This window comes from Homo sapiens, chromosome 17 (genome assembly GCF_000001405.40).
Source record: "Homo sapiens chromosome 17, GRCh38.p14 Primary Assembly".
Classification (NCBI taxonomy): domain Eukaryota; kingdom Metazoa; phylum Chordata; class Mammalia; order Primates; family Hominidae; genus Homo; species Homo sapiens.
In genome coordinates, this window is record NC_000017.11 from 13,493,340 (window position 1) to 13,513,604 (window position 20,265).

The 20,265-nt window shown below is 39.8% G+C and overlaps 1 protein-coding gene across 3 annotated transcripts in view; it reads right to left on the reverse strand.

The window, feature by feature from the left end:
* Positions 1–692: 692 nt before the first annotated feature.
* Positions 693–20,265, reverse strand: part of HS3ST3A1 (heparan sulfate-glucosamine 3-sulfotransferase 3A1) — a 107,898-nt gene continuing 88,325 nt past the window's right edge. For all 3 annotated transcript variants that reach the window (NM_006042.3, XM_011524114.4, XM_047437228.1), the window contains one exon: positions 693–3,479. In NM_006042.3, coding sequence (NP_006033.1) covers positions 2,858–3,479 — 622 coding nt within the window. In that variant the 3' untranslated portion in view covers positions 693–2,857. The remainder of the gene's footprint in view (positions 3,480–20,265) is intronic.

Below are 20,265 nucleotides of genomic sequence, written 5' to 3' on the forward strand. Positions count from 1 at the left end.
ATTTACAGACACGTCAATGTTTTAACCCCCTGCATAACAAGTTAACAAAAGGATTCAGGTGCTGAACAGGGCTTTGATCCAAATGACCATTGAAGTTGATTTCAGCTTTGAAGATCCTTTGAAAATAAGAAAATTAGAATGGGATTAATATTTCTAGAATAATCAATATCCATTCTCTAGAAGCATATTAATCTCCATTTATTGAAATAAAATTCATTTCCCTAGAAGTGACTAAGTTCTCTGGAGAATGGATACACTGCAGATGTGATCTTGGAAGCAAACTGCTTGAAACGAAGCTGTAGATATTTTCTAGATATTCTTCTTGAAAGACAACACTCTACCTCTAAGAAACAGGAAGGGGATTGGAAGGCATGGCTTTGGAGCAGACAGCTCAGAGAATGGACGCTAAGATGTTCCAATCAAGGTCAAAGCCTATTATTTGGTGTAGCTAAATGGACAAAATAAATGTGAGGCCAACTTCATGCACAGCAGGGACGAGTACTATATAGAGGCAGAAATGAATGGACATTCCTGTTAGAGAATACTGACTCTAAATCTTTATACATTTTGCTGGGACTTATTACTTCCAACACTCTTAGGAAGTCACAGAAGCTTGAAGATTTTCCCGGTGTTTTCCATAGTCGTTCATTTTTAAAATAATATGAACAAAAATATCTATGTTCAAAAAGGGATCCTTTGCATTCAATTCTGTTCTTTTATTTCTTTCACATTAAAAAAATGAAGGTTGCAGAATGCAATTGTTTCTTTGTGCAAGCCACTTTTGCATAATGCCAAGCAAACACTTACAAAAGAATCAGTTGTACAAACAAAATGAGCTAAGAGAAATGATGACAAGAGTTTAAAATGAGTATCTTGTTGCAGCTAGTGATTCAAGTAGAATAAAAACAGTCTGTGGCACTGGGAAATTGAGAGCATAGACATGAAGGAAATCAACTGAAAAAAGGTGACCTGGATTTGGGGTTTACTTAACTTCTATAAATGGGATATTAACAGATAAATCCAAAGATTTGGAGCAATGACAAAATATCTAACACTTAAAATATTTTTTCCTTCATTTTAATCCTGTGTTAAGCTTCTCAAGAAATATTTACATCACCTAATGCAGCAGCTATGGTAAATGTACAATTGTACTGCATATTTTAAAACAACTTTAGTTTCTTTTGATTGACAACATTAAAGAAGAAAAAGAATATTATTTTAGAGTGTCTGGTCGTTTAAATTTTGGCAGATAAAGAAAACTTCCATGAAATAGAAGACATTTTTCCTCTTGGGTTTAAATTTCTAATAAAATGTTGCTGACAGGCTAATTATAAATGTTTTATATATTTCGTGCATATGTGTTCCTCTCTAAACCAATTTAATTCCCATTAATGCTAATCTTGTTAATACCCACTCAGAGAGGAAAGGAATACTGTTAATAAACTATTGATTTATTTGAGTGATTTAAATGGGGGATGGGCAGAAACAGACGAGAGAAGAGGAAAAGCCACCATTTTACCCACAAATGCATTTCCTAGAATATTTTTCCAAATATTACTGAACATTAGGTTATAAATGGTATAAATAGGAAGTGGGAGGGGGGAATAAAGTGACAAAATGATAGTCCTCCATCCATGAAAAATAAAAACATTTTAAACGAACTGCTAATTAATTCTTTCAGAGTACTAGCTCCAAAGTTAGAAGTGAGATATTACAAAGAAAGGTAGGTTTTCTCTCTTTAAAAAGAGGTAAACTAAAAAACAAATGAGACTCATACCTGTAAGTGCTAATTGAAATCTGTTTCTTTTTTTTTTTTAAAGTCAATTAAATCAACAAATGGGTAAGTTACGTTCCTAACACATCTTGTGCTACCCCTAGTGTGGCTGGCCACCTTGTCCTCCATGCAAGAATCCAATAATTCCTCTCCAATTCAATCAAGCATTCATCAGTCAAGATTTCCATATCTCAGTGTACTTTAAATAGCCAAGAGGCAAGACTGGCTCTTAAGAGAGGTTGTGTCCAGGTCTCAGTGGTTTTCTTGGACACAACTATGTAATGAGACTGGGTGCCATGAGGGGTAGCCTGGGAATTTAGAAAACAAGGGGCTCTCTTTCCCTTTTCATATCATCTGAAAACTACCTAACCATTTCTAAAGGTGCAGATGTCTTCTTTTCCATTCTCCCTGGAAAAAGTGACATGAAATAGGGAACAAGTGGAAGATGGAATTTTGTCCAGGGTCCATCCAACATTTGACCTTTAGATACATTATTTCACCTCCCAAAGACTCAGTTTTCCTTTCTGTAAAATGGGGATAATAATATTTACCTATTGTGATCTTATACAACAGAGCAAGATTTATTTTTTTATTTTAATGATCAAAAAGGTGTATTTGAAAGCACTATGAAAACTGTGACGGGTACAAACATATGATAATACTAACTGGGAAATAATTTAAGAAAAAGTGGCACGGGAAAAAGGGAGAAAAATATAAGGATAGATATCAATTTTATCAGGGCCTTGTATTTTAAAAAAAGAGAGAGAGATGTTTAACCTCAAGATTTTCTGAAAACTTTTAATGACAACTGATGCTTATACTTTATGACTGGGTATATAGAACATAAAATAAAAACTGAAAATTGAAAGTGTTTAGACGAGTGAAATTTTCCTTTTCTGTTGATCCACGTGTTTGGTGTTGGTTATACATTAAGATGGGGCGGGAGTGAGAACAATCTCTTAACATTCATTGAAAAAAATACTGAAACATATTTTCAGCACAAATATTAAACTGTCTCTTCTCTACCGATTGGTAAAAAAATATATTATATTTTGATTTTTTTTTTCTTTTTAAATTATATGGTTATCCATCCCAGCCAAAGTCGTGCCCGGTCATCTGGTAGAACTTGAGGTTGAAAGGCCGGTAGAACTCGCGCAGCCTGCGCACCACCTCGCGGTCGATCTCAGGATGGGTCCTGCCCTTGGTCTTGCCCAGGCAATGGGGCCGGCTGCTGCCCTCCGCCTTCTTCAGGCAGGGGAAGCCCTTGGTCTTGTTGAAGTAGAAGTGCTTGTCCGTGATGATCCTCTTGAGGCCCAGGAAGTCTTGCACGCGGCCCAGCTCCCCGGCCGGGTCGCTGATGAGCCGCTCGCCGCTCACGAAGAGCATCTGGCGGATGGGGAAGTGGCGCAGCCAGTGCTCCAGGTGCTTGGCGTAGATGCCGATCTGGATGGCGCTCCACGACGTGTCGATGAGGCCCGCTGTCCTGTTTTTGAACGTCAAGCTCTCGAAGGTGGGGATGTCGGGCCGCTTGGACAGCGTCTGCGTGTAGTCCGAGATGGCCCTGGTCACCGGGTCCCGCACCACCACGATGAGCTTGGTGTCCTTGGACATGGCCGAGATGCGCGCGGGGGCCTCCCGCGTGACGAAGTAACTGGGCGTCTTCTCCATGGTGATCTGCCCGTCCAGGGTTCTGGGCATCAGGTCCCTGAGAAACGCAAAAAGGCATGTCAGAGATGTGCAGAGAGAGCTCAGTCCCAGGAGAGACTGTCAAGTACACGCTGGAGCCAGGCCGCAATTCCAGCCCCCGCAACCCCCCACTTGCTAGACATCTGATGGTGACGTCGCACAACGAGCCCCGCACCTCAGATTCCTCGTGTATTAAACGGAGAATAATAATATTACCCATTGCATACAGTTTTGTGATGATTAAATGAGTTAATATACCTCGACAGCTTAGAAAACTGCCTGGCACCGAATAAATGCCACGTTAAGTTTCTGTGTTTTATTATTGTTTATCCACAATGCTGTAAGAAAATAACTTTGGTCAAAATCTTCAGGTGAATTAGAATATTGTCATAAACACAATTATACTGCTATGAGATAGTATTAAAATATCCTGAGCCCTTCCTGTAGTTTTCTTATAAACAAAGCAATCATATTCAACATAATGTAGCATATTACACAAAATACTTATGTTTGTAATTACTGAGTTTTCCTGCAACAAACAAGACTTATTAAAGAATCCATCTTTTGCCTAATGATTTGAAATGCCATCATTATCATATTCTAAATATGTTGATTCCTTTCTACATTGGCCCAATTATAAGTTATTATCGTGTGATAGTATACTTTCATGTACACCAAAGTAAATTCTGACTTTCTGTTGTTCAACATGTCCTTGATGATTCTGGTCCGTTTATTCCTCCTGACAAATGAGATATCACTTTATCATATTAAAAACAAAAATCCAGTTGGAGTCTTGATACAGCAGATATTGCTTCTCTGTTCAAGCAGGCTTTCTACTGGCCTCAGTCAGGGCCAGTCAAAACACATGAACAGGAGAGATCAAATCTATTTGTTCTTCCAACTTAAGTATACTGCAATTAAATGCACTATTTGTTGAGACAGTTACAGACAGTTGGATAGATAGAGATCTTTAGTTATTTCATTTTGTAGTTTTGACTTCTCTTTTAATGTAGGCATTATCTAGGATTATATTGTATCTTTAATCCTGATGATAGATTTGTTACTTTTGTTCATGGAATTTGTGATTAGTTTTTATTTCGCATCTGCAAGGAAAAGATACACTTTGCATCATGGGAGCTTGCAGTTATTAATTCCCTGTGATTTTGTCCCACCTACACTATCTGGGCTAACTATATTTTGTGAGACATGTCAAACATAAACAAAAGCAGAGAAAATTGTCAAATCAGTCTCAAACACCTCACATCCAGCTTCAAAACTTCATAAAGGCCTATTTTATTTATAAATCCCCTCATTTCTGCTGCCCCAGCAGGCCAGTTAGATTATTTTAAAGTCATTCACAAACATCCTATTAATGGATTAATAAGTATTCCTGCTCCCATCTGCATTATTTCTAGCACAAATTCCTCAATCTCTTGGGCAATCTGATGGCCCCGATACTTCCTTAGTTTTAATGATGCAGGTACTGGGACTCAGAAAACAGTACTCCAAAGTGAAGGCCTCAAAAGCAGCCTCAGAAGCAGAAGTTTTTCTCTGAACTTCTCTTGCCCCTCTGTCTTTCAATCCTACTCTTACCAAAGACTAACCACAGAAACTAAAATCTCTCTCCCCCAAGGCAGGTCATACAGATCGGAACTCCTTTTCCCCAAAGCCAGCCATAAAACCTAAAAACATTACTCTAACTTTCCTTCTACTTTTCTGTATAAAAACTGTCCATAAAGAAATTATCTGACCTATCCCGTTTGACTGTAGGTCATAAGACCTTCATTCCTGAGAGGGTCCTGCCCCGTACCTAGAAGGAAGGAAGGCATGTGCAGAGGCCAAGAAGAATCTAGACAGAGAGGCCTTGCAGGCTTCCCCAAACTGGGTCTATTTGGGTTAGATCATACCCTTTTTGTCCAGTCATATTTCTATACAACTGTTCAAATTTAGTTAAGCCCAAGCATAAAAATGGACAATTTCCTCTGTATCTTTGGGTCTTCACCCTGAAAGTTCTTGCATACACAGTAATAAACGTGTATGCCTTTTCTCCTGTGAATCGGCCTCTCATCAGTGATTTTCAGCAACCCTTCAGGAGTTGAAGGGGAAGTTTTCCCTTAGCCCATACTCAGATTTCCTCCTATTTTTGTTTTTTTTTTTTGGGTGGGGGGTTTATTTTTGTCATTTCAGTCAGTTTATCTTTACTTTTTATAGACATTTGCTTTCTGTTTCTGAGCTTTTAATTTTTGAAATAAATGTGAACTTCCTTTTTCAAAATAATTCTTAATGGACCTCATTACCCACCTCTTAGGCACACATTAAGGTCTGGGTAAGAGTACGTGAACACCAGAGAGTTTGGTGTTGACACAAAGGAGACACACATTGGCATAACCACCTATGTGATGCAGATTCCGCGGTGTGACATGAATGCATAGAACTCATCCCTCTGTGACTCCTTCTGTGGAACTGAAAAGTTGGCTAGGCCAGCCTAATATAAAAGCTTATGTTACTCTTGTCTAAGGTGAGCCAGGAGATCTATCCAGAGATGGCTGGAATTTCTCAGTGAAGGAAATTTAATCAGATGCGTGAAAAAGTTTTGGGCTTGGAAAGCAATCATCAACTACACTGAAGTGATAAGAAAGAGTATTTATAGATTTTTTTTTGAAAAAGCCATCATTACTTTCTCTTTTTTTCTATATATCTTTGACTTTTAACTACTTTATTTCAAATTTTGACCAGTAAAATAGAGAGAGAATAATACTTCACTTGGGAGCTCCTGGTTGGCCTGTTGGGGAAGGGGCTGGGTATATGGGTGGGATTGGGGTGGGGAAGAGCTGTAGGAGACTTTTGCAGAGATTGAGGCTATAGATTGCGCTGGGCCAGAGGAAACACTGCTAAAACCACTAAAACAAGGAACCATATTTTAAATAATCTCAATAGAGTAGGGAAAAGAGCTATCCAACATAAGAGGAGTTTGAAGAGGAAACAGCTAAAATAGGATTGCAAAAGAAAAACACATTCATTACTGTCATTTGCAGGATGAGGAAAACTGACTGATTTAGCATGGGATGGGTGTGGAGAGTTGGGCTTAACTATAAGCTACCTGCAAGCTTCTTTCTGCAAAAATAAAGAAACGATAGTCTAAATAAATCCTAATCAAGCTTACATTGTAGAAAATGGTTGCTTTGTAACAGGACTCACAACAGAATTCTTTAAATTGCAATCTTAAATTATTTTTTTCAAAAAAGTCAATAAAAGGGATATAAAATTTTTTTTCAAACAAGTCAATGAAGGGGATAAATTTTTTTCATACATTTTTATTGCAAATCTTACTGGATTTTAACGTTCAACAAAGCACCACACTGTCATATAAAACAAAAGGCAGGTGTATGTTGGAATACTGCATTTCAAAATGTCTATAACTTGGAAATTGTTCTTCTTTACCTGAGTAAGGCACAAATTAGGTTGGTGCAAAAGTAATTGTGGCTTTTGCAATTATTGGCAAAACCGCAATTACTTTTGCATCAACCTAACACTTTTAATGGCAAAACCTACAATTACTTTTGCACCAACCTAATACTATGACTGTGCTTTGTGTAAAAACTGGGGCCCGGGATGGGTAGTGAAAGATCTATTACAGTATTATAAAAGGTCTGAAGAAATATGAGGCAGGCTATGGGAGCACGAAGGTGTGGGCACTGATAAATCACGTGAGGTTTGCCTGAAGACACAACAGGTGAAGAAGTATGGGAGAAATTCAACTGGATGATGGGAGGCATAGGTCCTAGGAGAACTTTCTTTCCAAGCTAAGTAGTGTAGACCATTCCAACCTCCCTTCTGAATAGTGAACAGGATTTGGAGACATTTACAGTAGGTATGAAGATGAGGAAATGGGTTGAGACCAACACTATAAGGAAAAAATATAGAAATGTATTTGTTTTGTCCTGAGGGAGGCAAAGATAAGCAGAAATTTCACAAGCGAATTAAGAATTATTACAAGGTAGGTTATACACAGTTGTTCTTCTCCCCATAGAACTCAAAGAGAATTCACAATAGCCAAAGAGTGGAAGCAACACAAGTGTGTATTGACAGATGAACGGATAAACAAAATGTGGTTTATGCATACAATGGAATACTATTCAGAAATTCTGACATACACTCCAACATAGATGAACCCTGGGGACATTATGCCAAGTGAAATAATCCAGTGACAAAAAGACAAATACTGTATGAGTTCACTTATATGATATATCTGGGGTACTCAAATTCATTGAGACAGCAAGTAGAATGGTGGTTTCCAGGGGCTGTGGGGAAGAGGAACAGAGAACTATTGTTCAGTAGGTATGAAGTTTGAGTTTCGTAAGATTAAAAGAGTTGTGGGGATCGATCACGTAACAACGTGTATGTACTTAACACTACTGAACCGAACAACGGTTAAAATGGTAAATTTTATGTTATGTGTTTTCTAAGATTAGAAGAGTTCTGGAGATTAATCACATAACAACGTGTATGTACTTAACACCACTGAACCTAACAGTGGTTAAAATGGTAAATTTTATGTTATGTGTATTTTACTACAATTTTTTTAAAAAAAAGAACTTAAGGGAGGACAAACATTTCAGTGGCATTGATAGAAATTAGTTAGACAAAAGAGTCTTTTTGCTTTACGGCTAATTAAACATTACAAGGTACTGCTGAAGGGGGCTCTGGTTTTGCTAAAAGGGAAATACAATAATTTATGAGATTTTTGTGCAGCTGATCTCAAATATAAAAACGAGGTTTGTGGTCCATGCCCACTGCCTGCTGCATGATCACTAGATAGTAATTTAGCATCTCTATGCTCAGTTTATTCACCTTACCAGGAAAATCAAGCCAAAGGTTCAAAATTCCTGGACTGTAATGAAGTGTCAACATGGCCATTATTACTACAGGGAATACATGGAAGCACTCTTCTTAAGAATGTGACACCCAGTGTTCTGAATTCCCAACTTCAGGAGAACCCCACTTAGTTCAGCTAACAAAGGGTTCAGAGAGTTAGAACTCTTTGCCATGTTCCTGACACACCTGACCATTTGTCATTCAGACAGTGAGGATGCCTGGTTTGAAGGCCATGAGCTGGCTACATTATTTGGAAGGGCAGAGCCTAGCTTATTATCTTATTATGGTGTGAGAGAGATGGGCTCGGTTTTTAAGGGGATTTCATTTCCTTCCATGGCATGGGTGCAGTTGTGCCAGGAAGGAAACTGCTTGGCAATTTTCCTATCTGGCTCAAACATCATGCCACTCTACCGTGCTAGGGAATTCCATTCTGGATCTGATCTGTCACCCTGGGTAAGGGTCTCGGGGCCTAGGGTTGTTAGAGCTGCTGTCTGTGGTGCAGGAAGTGTTATGGTCAAGCAGGAACCACGATACACATGCTAAGTTGTCCTCTGTTTTCTACCCCAGCCTTCAACCAGGTCAGGAATTAATGGTGGGAGTACTAAAATGACCCAGAGGACTTTCCCACTGCCACACTACTGAGGGGACAGACCTGCCTCCATGGCTGTGCCTTAACGATGGTCCAAGAGGCAAGCCAAGCACTCTAGCACTGGCTGCACCACTGCCACCTCTATGATCAGGGAACCACCTGGGAGAGCTCTCCATGACACTCAACAACACATATGCATGGTGCATCCGATATATGCAAGAAAGAATAAAAAGAACTTCCCCCATGTGCCTCACTCTTCTTATCAATTTGGGCCATTTGCCCTGAATTCTCATTGCCCTCATGTTGTCTTTTGCTCCTTCACCCTCCCTCTGGAACTGCTACTGGCCCTCTCTGGAAGTACTTCTTCCAAAAAACAATTACCCTATTACCCTTCCCCATTTTATTTTTAACCAATGATATTTGGTCAATTTTCTATTTATATGGAAAAATAAATCTTGGCATTTGCCTCTGGCTATTTAGGAAAAATTAATTCCAGATCACCTGGAGATACAAATATAAGTGGTGAAACAATCACCTTTTGGAAGGAAACGTAGAACATCTTGATGATTTTGAAGGAGGTAAAGTTTTGTTAATTTCTTAAAGGAGTAACTATAATGAAAAAAAAAAAAAAATAGGGCCAGGGGTGGTGGCTCACGCCTATAATCCCAGCACTTTGGGAGGCCAAGGCAGGCCAATCATGAGGTCAAGAGAGCGAGACCATCCTGGCCAACATGGTGAAACCACATCCCTACTAAAAATACAAAATTAGCTGGGCGTGTTGGCGTGTGCCTGTAGTCCCAGCTACTCGAGAGGCTGAGGCAGAATCGCTTGAACCTGGGAGGTAGAGGTTGCAGTGAGCTGAGATCAGGCCACTGCACTCCAGCCTAGCAAGAGAGCAAGACTCCATCTCAAAAAAAAAAAAAAAAAAGAAAAAAAAAGAGCTCCTATAAATCAATAAGTAAAAATAGCTACACAGCATAGAAGAAAAACAGGCAAAAAGCTGGAATTAGCACTTTTGAAGGAAGTAAAGTTTTGTTAACAAAATACAGTATCCACAAAATTACAGCTAGATAGGAGGAATAAGTTCTAGTGTTCTGTAGCACTGTAGGGTGAATGTGGGTAACAACAATTTCGTGTATATTTTCAACAAGCTAGAAGAGAAGATTTTTGAATGCTCACAACACTAAAAAGTAATAAATGTTTGAGGTGATGGATATGCTAACTACCCTGCTTTAATTATTACATTGTATATATATTGAAATATCACTCTGTGTCCCGTAAGTATGTATAATTATTAGGTGTCAACTAAAAATGAAATGAAAAATAAATAAAGTAAGTAATCAATAAACACACGAGAAGGCACTGAACTTCATCGGTCATCAGGAAAATGTAAATTAAAACACAATACCATACTATGACACACCCACTGGTCATCTAGAATAAAAACCACAGAGAATTCTGAGTTTGGGTGAGAATGTGGAACTGGCACTTTGGTGGTTAAAGAGTAAACTGGCACAGTGATTTTAGAAAACTCTTTGGCACTATCTACCAAACGAGCGCATTCACTGTGACCCAGCCATTTCATGGCCAGGGCTATACTCATGGAAATCATATATATGTTCACCAAAAGACATGTTCACGAATGTTCACAGACAATCCTAATAGTCCCCAATTCAAGCTCTCCAAATGTCCACCCAAAATAGACGCACGTAGACACATACTGAGATCTTAAACAGCACACAGAATGAATGACTTAAAACCTGTGAGTGGGCTGGGTGTGGTGGCTCACACCTGTAATCCCAGCCCTTTGGGAGGCCGCAGTGGGTGGATCATGAGGTCAGGAGTTCAAGACCAGCCTGACCAACTGGTGAAACCCCGTCTCTACCAAAAAATACAAAAATTAGCTGGGTGTGGTGGCGGGCACCTGTTACAAGTCCCAGCTACTCGGGAGGCTGAGTCAGGAGAATAACTTGAACCCAGGAAGTGGAGGTCGCAGTGAGCTGAGATCACACCACTGCACTCCAGTCTGGGCGACAGAGCGAGACTCCATCTCAAACAAACAAACAAAAAACCTGTGGGTGAACATTACAATGCTAACAAACACAGCCAGTCACAAAAAAGGAAACACTGTATGATTTCCTTTATAAAAAATGTTCTTAAACAGGCCAAACTCATCTATCCCATTCAATATCAAAATGGTGGTTACCCTTAGGGGGATCGGTGTCTAGAAGAGGGCATGAGAGGGGCTTCCAGGCTGAAGGAAAAGTCCCAATTCATGACCCGGGTGCTGGCTACAGAAGCGTATCCACTTTGTGAAAATTTCTTGAGCTGTGTCCCATGATTTGTGTCCTTTTTTCTATTTATGTTGTACTTGAATAAAGATTTTACTATGCTTATAAAAAATAAATGGACCAATATCCCATAATGCTCCAAGAAAAGCATGATTTTTTTAAAGGGTATTTGCGAAGCCCACTATGTTTCCAATTTCTGTAAATTCAGATCACAAAGGTAAAGGAGTGGAGCTCATATACCTAGGAGTCAGGCGTCCTCTCCAAGACCACTTCTCCCTCACCTCAGGCAAATCATAAGGACAGCAGCTGCCCCTCACATGGGCCACTATGAGCACAGTGGTGTGCAGTGTAACCTGGAGGATGTGTTTCAAGAGTGTGAACTCAGAAGAGAGAGAACTGAAGAATAAGTTATACTTGCAAAACATTTGGGTGACGACTTTCTCAGCTAATCTTTACTCAGCCAAAAAAGAGATAAGGTAGGTAATTACATTCCCTAATTTTTCTGACAAGGAAGCTGAGGTTCAGAGAGACTGAGCAGTATGCTGACATGTTCACAATCAGGGTATGGAAGGTAATGGGTGGTCCTCCCAATGCCTAGTGCGAGAGTATTTCTATTGCAGCAGATAAGAGAAAGTCAGCAGCCAAAGGGGATTACAAAAATAGTATACAGACGACGGCTCCAATGGAGCAAATTCGACAGAGGGAAAACATGGGAACCTGAGAGAGTTATCCAGAAAGTAGCTGTGAAAATCCTGAAAGAACTAAATCCTGAATTGAATACAGATGAGACGAAGAAATTTGTCTGCTTGAACTGAGGAGCTGTATGAAATTAGACCAAAAAGATGATGACTTGATTAACGTCAGTGATATATTAAATCTGAAACAGTGTGCAGGTTTGGAGCAGGAAAGGACTGCAGGTGGTTTAATACTTTAGGGGGCTCTTCCAACAGAATCCAAGCTCGAGGAGTTAAAGACCAGGATTAGGGTGCTGATAGTGGGAAAGACAAGGTGGGTGAGGACAAAAGGAATATTTAGAGTATAATCGGTGAGGCTAGATAGCTGATTTATGACTGAAACAATGTAGACATCTTCAAAAAAAAAAGGCGGAAAAGAATAAAAATTTTATTAAAGTGAACAATTATTTTGAAGAAGGAAGTGGTGCCCTCTCCCCATTAAAAAAGAAAATTTGGGCTGGGCATGGTGGTTTACGCCTATAATCCCAGCACTTTGGGAGGCAGATGTGGGCAGATCACCAGGTCAGGAGTTCGAGACCAGCCTGACCAACATGGTGAAACCCCGTCTCTACTAAAAATACAAAAATTAGCCGGGTGTGGTGGCGCGTGCCTGTAATCCCAGTACTCAGGAGGTTGAGGCAGGAGAATGAATCACTTGAACCCGGGAGGCGGAGGTTGCAGTGAGCCGAGGTCTCGCCACTGCACTCCAGCCTGGGCAACAGAGCAAGACTTCATCTCAAAAAAAAAAAAAAAAAAAATTGGATTTCTGTTTCAGTAGAGTTGGAGTTACTTTTTTTTTTTTTTTTTTAAAGTTAGGGTTTCTGCATGAGGTTTCTAATGGAGACAAAATAGTATTAGTTTTATTCTAAACTATGACACAGATGGATCATGTATCTCCATGAAGACAACATAGTTTTATAGGAAACTCAAAAGCAGGAATAGGAATAAGGATTTCAGCCTTGATTTTGCTATTAATAAGCTGTGTGATCTTGGGCAAATCACTTTCGTTCTCCTGGCCTCGATTTCTTCATAAACAAAAAAAGTTTATTGTCCTCAATGTCTGTAGGACTTTCCACCTCTAAGATTCCATGTAGGCAGTGGGACTTTAATTCATTTTTAACTTGTCATATTTAGAGCTCTGCGTAGCATCATGCTGCTGTGCTCTGAAGTAAGGCTCCACCAATCACATCAAGAGATTTGTATAAATAATTACACAGAGCAATTCTGCATCAACGGAATTGATTTCAAAATCAATGAGATCTGAAAGAATGCAGTTCAAATAACTGATGCAAGAGAAAGTGCTGAGGTTAATTCAAATGAAGGCTAACTTGACATATCCCTAAGGCTTGGGGGCAGCAGAAAGACCAGGAAATCTATGAGCAGAGAGGTCTCACTATATTCCACAAGGCATGTGATGGAGGAGACCCATGTCTATGCGATGCTTCCTCTGTGCCTGACACGTTGAAATGAGATGTCAAAGTCAGGAGGCCGGGAGCGGTGGCTCACGCCTGTAATCCCAGCACTTTGGGAGGCCGAGGCGGGTGGATCGCCTGAGCTCAGGAGTTCGAGGCCAGCCTGGGCAACATGCTGTAACCCTGTCTCTACTAAAATACAAAAAAAAAAAAAAAAAATTAGCCAGGCCTGGGGGTGGAGCCTTGTAATCCCAGCTCCTCAGGTGGCTGAGGTGGGAGAATCGCTTGAACCCGGGAGGCAGAGGTTGCAGTGAGCCAAGATTGCGCCACCACACTCCAGCCAGGGTGACAAAGCTAGACTCCGTCTCCAAAAAAAAAAAAAAAAACAAAAAAAGATGTCAAAGTCAGAAGATGAAGTTCATAGTCATGGATAGGACTACATTAAAAATAATAGATCCAGGGCAGCCAGAAATTCAAGTTCAGGGTCCTTGGGAAGAGCATCATGAAGACAGAAGAAAATGAATACATACTGAGCATTTACCACAGAACAAGGTCTGATGTATTATTTCTTGAGTCTCACAACTAAAATGAAGAGCTAGAATTATTCCCTTCATTTCACAGATGGGGAAATAGGCTCAGAGAGATAATGTGACTTATCCAAGCACACATAGTTGCTAATAGGTCTAGAATGAAAATCCAGGTCCATCTAGCTCCAAAGTGCATATTCTTTCAACCTTCCCAAACAGCCAGGGAACATCAGAGTGACTCTTTTGGTTGATGTTCCTGGCCATCTTTGACATTCTGCCAAAACATATGAGTGTTAAATGCATTCTTTACCTATCCATCTCTGAATGCAAATCACCCTTCCTGAAATCTTCCGAACAGGTAATATATATCACACGTTTTTCAAAGGCTATCTTCTGCAAGGGAAGAACATCCTGCAAAGGGAAGTCCCTGAGTTGTAATGCAAAGGTAGTGTGCCTTGAGGAATAAATAAATCTGGCCCATGTACATGTACTTTTTTTAAGTCTATACAGCCAAACAGAACTGTGTCTGTTTTTGGAAGCCTCTGGCAGCAGAACATGCTAGAAAAACATGCTCTTTTCATGGCCATGGCAAGAAGGTAGTTCCTGTGGGTCCTCGATGGTGTGTGTCTGGGAGCAGGGGAAACTGCTGGGAACTCTCTGTGCTGTCAGCTCGCCATCCCTTGGGCCGAGCCCACTCACATCAATATTTCTTTTCCTGCTGTTGTTATGTGGGACCCCTCTGAAAACGTGACTTATAAGGATGGAAAGAAAACTCCCTTTACTTGTTGTTTGAATTGGCTTCTGTGGGAGAGGAAGACTTATATTTTTGAAGCAGCTCCCACACCAACCGAATCTGGATATGCAATTCTAAGAACCAAATCATCATCAAGATAAGCTAAACATCAGGGTTAGAGCCCAGGACACTGACCAGCGCCATTGATAGCAGACTCCTTTTAAAACTTTTAACGACCAGGTAAAGAAGAAAGAGAAAAAAAAATTGATTCTTATTCTCACTAGTCTTTATGACACAATATGTACCAAAGCTTACTTCAAGAAAACAGCACAGGGTTCCCTGGACTCCAGAGGAGGAGAGAAAACTCAAGGACTCTTGATCGTTAATTTTGGGGAACCTCATGAAAAGATAACGAATCCATCTGTAGTCAGGTCAGATCAAAGAGTCCTCCTGGAAGACAAGGGGCGAGAGTGTTTTGGGCTCATAAATTCAAGTAAGAATCCTTTATGTTTCTGTTGGATCTTAGAGTTTCCCAAGCAATTCCACACATTTTCTCTTTCATTGACTCTTAGAAACAGTAAAAATAAACCAGTAACTTACAAGGCTCATTGCTTCAACCCCTGATCCCCCTTTCTATGTTAACTTCATTGAGGGAACTCATGTATTCATAAGATGTAAAATACCATTTCTAACACGGTAGGCATTGTCCCAAATTCTGTTTTAAAGTGGTTTCTGTCTCCTAGGAGCCGGTGTGCTTCTATCAATGTCCTATCAAAGTATCAAATAATATCCAAAGAAATAACTTTACAACACTGAAAACTAAAATTCACAAACAACCTAATTATGTCAGAATCTGTAAGATGATCAGAGCCTCAGAAACCACCTGGGAAAGGTAGGAATATGTTGTACTTCCCCACCGTGGGGCCATCTCTGGACTTCCGACATTCTTTGTGTACCAAGCAAAAAGTAATATTTCCTACTTTGAGGGTAAGCATCTCTTTAATTTTTTTTTTTTTTTTAGCCTAAGTGCCAATCTTGCCTCACCCTGGTCCTGGCCCTGGCAGAGATCCACAATTTGAAAATACTAGCAAGTTTTTAGAGTTTGAGAAAAAAGGAAGTACTTCCTGGCATTTAAACAGAAAGAGAAACAAATAACATGACACCTAGGCTACTGACAAATGAAGGAGGAGACGGGGGAGTTGGGCTTTAGCCTTCAGTAATAAGTGCCCAAAGTGGAGAAGAGCTTAAAGGGAAAAAGACCTTTATGCTCAGCTAAGTTTTATTTCATTTGATGACATATGAAAATGACATTTTCAGATATGCAATGGTTTAAAAAACTTAACACCCATGTAACCCTGGGAAACAAACAAACTCGAAGGTTCATTTCAACTGAACAATAAATAGAGAAAAATTAAAAGCACAAGAATGAAAAAGTGAGTGTATTTCAGTAAAATGAGGGGCCATGTAAAATCAGTCAAAATAGAAATGTCTTAAAGAATTATTCTTAATGTGTCCATAAAAATGATGACAAATACACAGCAGAAATAAAATGTAATTAAGTTAGTTAGGATCTAAAGCCTGATCGATATTTACAAGCCCTTAGAAGTGTGTGTGTATTTGTGTGCGAGAGAGAGACAGAGAGAGATTGATAGGTTACAAGGAGACAGAGAAGAGAGCAAGAAGATAGAAGAAAAAAAGAGAAGAATCTAGAATCTACCAGAGATAGGAAAGTGCAAGGACTGTATTCTTCCAAGCAGCACCACTAAAAATTAGAACTGGAAAGAACCTTAGAAATCCCCTAATCCAGCTGCTTCATTTCACAGATGTTGAAAGGTTTGAGAAGGGGCTTGTCCTAAGTCATTCAGCCGAAAGAACACAAAAAGCCAGGCTTAGATTCTGAGTCTTCTGATGCTTGGCTCACTGTTCTTTCTATGTTACATTATTCTGCCTGAATTCTAGAAATATAATGTGCCCAGGGCTTGATTATCTGAAAAACAAAATTCATCTTGGGGGCTGGGGGTGGAATTCCCTCGTAGTGCTTCTGAACTGTGAAAGTTACATTAAATGTTGAGTCCTGATTAAAGGGAGAACTGGCTTTTCTTCAGCCTACCTGGTTCTCAGGTCAGCATCTAGAAGGGGAGAATGGAATTCTTATTCAAAGTGGGGAGAGCCTGGGCCAAGGGCAGGCCCCTCTCCTGGCTCTGTGGTGGCTGCCACAGCAAACCCCACATCTAGGCTGATCTGCGCTCTTGACAGGAGTTTTATAAATGATTAGTCTGAGAGCTGTGCTATCGGCTTTTGTGCAACTGCAGGCAGCTGCTTCGGAACAGAGAGCTCTCATCAGCCAGGAATTATCGAGTCTTTGCATATGTGCAGCTGGAGATAAGGGGGGAAAACGTGTTTTTCCTTGCTTGCAAATCAACAATCTAAGGAGAGTGGGGAAGCTGAGAGAGAAACATGATGAGGATAAATCAAAATTTTAGAAAGGTTCTTCGTCATATTTTGGCGATGGTGGTTTTTTTTGTTGTTGGTTGTTTGTTCATTCGCTATTTTTCTGTCAGTTTATTTTATTCTACTAGTTAGATTCTGGACACACGGTAGGTGCTAAATCAATATGTCTTTTAAGTTTGAACCAGGAGAAGTGACTTGCAGCTATGATTTTGGCAGGAGTCTGGGGTCTTGAACTGCTAGGATATTCTTTCTAAAATTTGCCATCCTCACCCTGTGTGAATATCTCAGTGTCCTTGATTTTTTTTTTTTTTTATACGAAGTCTTGCTCTGTGACCCAGGCTGGAGTGCAGTGGCGAGATCTTGGCTCACTGCAACCTCCACTTCCCAGGTTCAAGTGAGTCTCCTGCCTCAGCCTCCCGCGTAGCTGGGATTACAGGCACCCACCACCATGTCCTTGATTTTGAACAGGAGAAAAGGAGAAACATTTTGTCTCATACAGATCAAAACAAACTTCCAAAATAATCTCTTATTAATCACTCTTATGATATAAAACCTCCAAAATAATAATGTCATCATGAAATGAGGCATGCAGACAAAACAAACTTTGGGAAAGCCATCCCGGAGTTGGCATTTTACATAGCCTCTTAGTGCAGCTGTACCACGTACCACTACGAAGAAGTAAAACCATCCATCCAATAGGGACACAGGTAAGAAGGGCTCTGACTTTAAGTCCCACAATTTGGTAGTTCCCACAAATTGCATACACACACAAATTTATTACAGAAACCGTCACTCCAGCATCAGCATAGTGCAACCAGAAACCCTAAATATCCACTCTCATATTTAAATCCCAGGGAAATGCTTCTGCAAACCTCTTGCCCTGTGTCTTTAAAACAAAAGGGCCAAATGCTGAGAACATACAGGGGTTGTGTTGCAGCAGATAGACACTGCTTCAAGTTAGGGGAAGGATTTGGGTGAGGGAAGTAGTTAGCTAAGAGAAAAAAAATCAAATTAAGTAGCTTATCCAGTGCTTCCTATCAGAGAGCATGAAATAGCCTCTTGAAGTAAAAGTATCATTTCCTGGTATTACTGAGTGCTCATTTCTCTGCTTCTCCTCCTAATCCAGTTCACGGTCCTGAAGATATTAACACATTATGGAGGTAATCACAACATTCGCACGTGGAGGTGGAGGGGCATATTTTATAATGAAGCAACTGATGCCACTCTGACATGTATAAATATGTAGGTCTAGATGAAACAGCTGAAGCATGGTACTGATTCTTTCTAGTGGCAACTAGATGGATGTTAAAAGCTAGAATGGAGAACAGTTCTAACTTTATAAATATGTTTGAGATTTAATTACAATTTAAAAATTAGGAAGTCAATTTAAAATAATTTTTATTTCAACATTTTATATTTATTAATTAGAATCTATATTTTGTCTTTGAATTTTGATAGATAACTTGGAATATTTTAGAAATAAAGACAACTTTTAAATACACGTGGAAATAATTTTCATTTCTTAAATTTTACATTTACTTTAATTCATATTTTGGATCAAAATATATTCAAATTTGTACACTTGCACTTCAAAAATCCTTTAGATCAGAGGTCATCAAGCTATGGCCCACAGGCCAACACCAGCTAGTTTTTTAAACTGCATGATCCCTGAGGTCAGGAGATCGAGACCATCCTGGCTAACAAGGTGAAACCCCGTCTCTACTAAAAATACAAAAAATTAGCCGGGCGCGGTGGCGGGCGCCTGTAGTCCCAGCTACTGGGGAGGCTGAGGCAGGAGAATGGCGTGAACCCGGGAAGCGGAGCTTGCAGTGAGCCGAGATTGCGCCACTGCAGTCCGCAGTCCGGCCTGGGCGACAGAGCGAGACTCCGTCTCAAAAAAAAAAAAAAAAAAAAAACTGCATGATCCCATTTATATGACACATTCAGAATAAGCAAATCTATAGTGACAGAAAGCAGATTAGTTGTTGCCAAGGGCTGAGGGGTGTGGGGAATAGGAGTGAGTGCTTAACAGGCATGACGTTTCCTTTTGACGAGATGAAAGTGCTCTGGGATTGGATAGCAGTGGTGGTCAGCTATTTTTGTCAATAAAGTTTTATTGAAACATAGCCATGTCCATTTGCAAATGTATCCTCTCGGCAGCTTTTGAACCACAAACACTGGACTGGGTACTTGTGACAGAGATCACGTGGCCTGCAAAATATTCATTATCTGGACCTTTTCATAAAACATTTTTCACCTCCTGCTTTAGACCATTGCTGTCAGTAGAATAAAATTAGTATTCAAAATCTTGATTGTAGCATAATTAGTATTTTGTTGAAATTAAGGGATAAAAAAATAAATTGTACTGCGTAAGTATGTAGTAGTTCATGATCTGCGTATGTCTTTGTTTTATTACTCATCCCAACATTGCTGGCCCATCAACAGAATGCCCAAATGAGCAATAATAATTAAATTGAGTCATTTTTGGTCATTTGCCAACTTTCAGACATAGAAAAATAATAGATTTATATATTTTTTCTGTTTTGTTGTTAGGAGGGAATATTTGTCAAAATAGGAGAATAGGATGTATTTCATGTAACAGTTTATTAGCTTGATTCATAACTTTTTAAATGTTCAGACATAGGGTATGCGGGCCTTCATTCAGGGACCTGAAATGTAAAGGGTGGGCCAGAAGAAAACACACCAGGACTTAGAGCTAAGTCATGGTGAAGGAAAACAAGGCCGGCAGACAGGCTGTCCATTCCAAAAAAGCCTGGGGCTGTCAGGAGCTAAACTTTCCAGATGAGGCACTTCACGCGGACTAGGTGGCTCCACCGCAGCAGAAATGCTGCAGACGCCTCACATCTGTGTGACGGAACAGAAATCCCTCTTCTTTCAGCACAGGAAAACGAAACATGCTAGGCTCTGGGGGGAGCAGCCCATTTGGAAAATAGCAGCTTTCCAAATGGGCTTTTAAAAAAATTAAACTTCAACAACATTCAAAAAATTCTACATGCAAAAAAGGTTCATTACAGAAAACTTAGAAAATTCCCAGAGAAGCACAAAATTCTAGAAAGTAAAATTACTCAACCACCGCTCCGATATAGCATTTAAAAATACATCCATGCAGATCTCATTCTATGCAGAGCTTTATGTTAATAACTTATTTATAAAATTCAATTATATTGTGCAC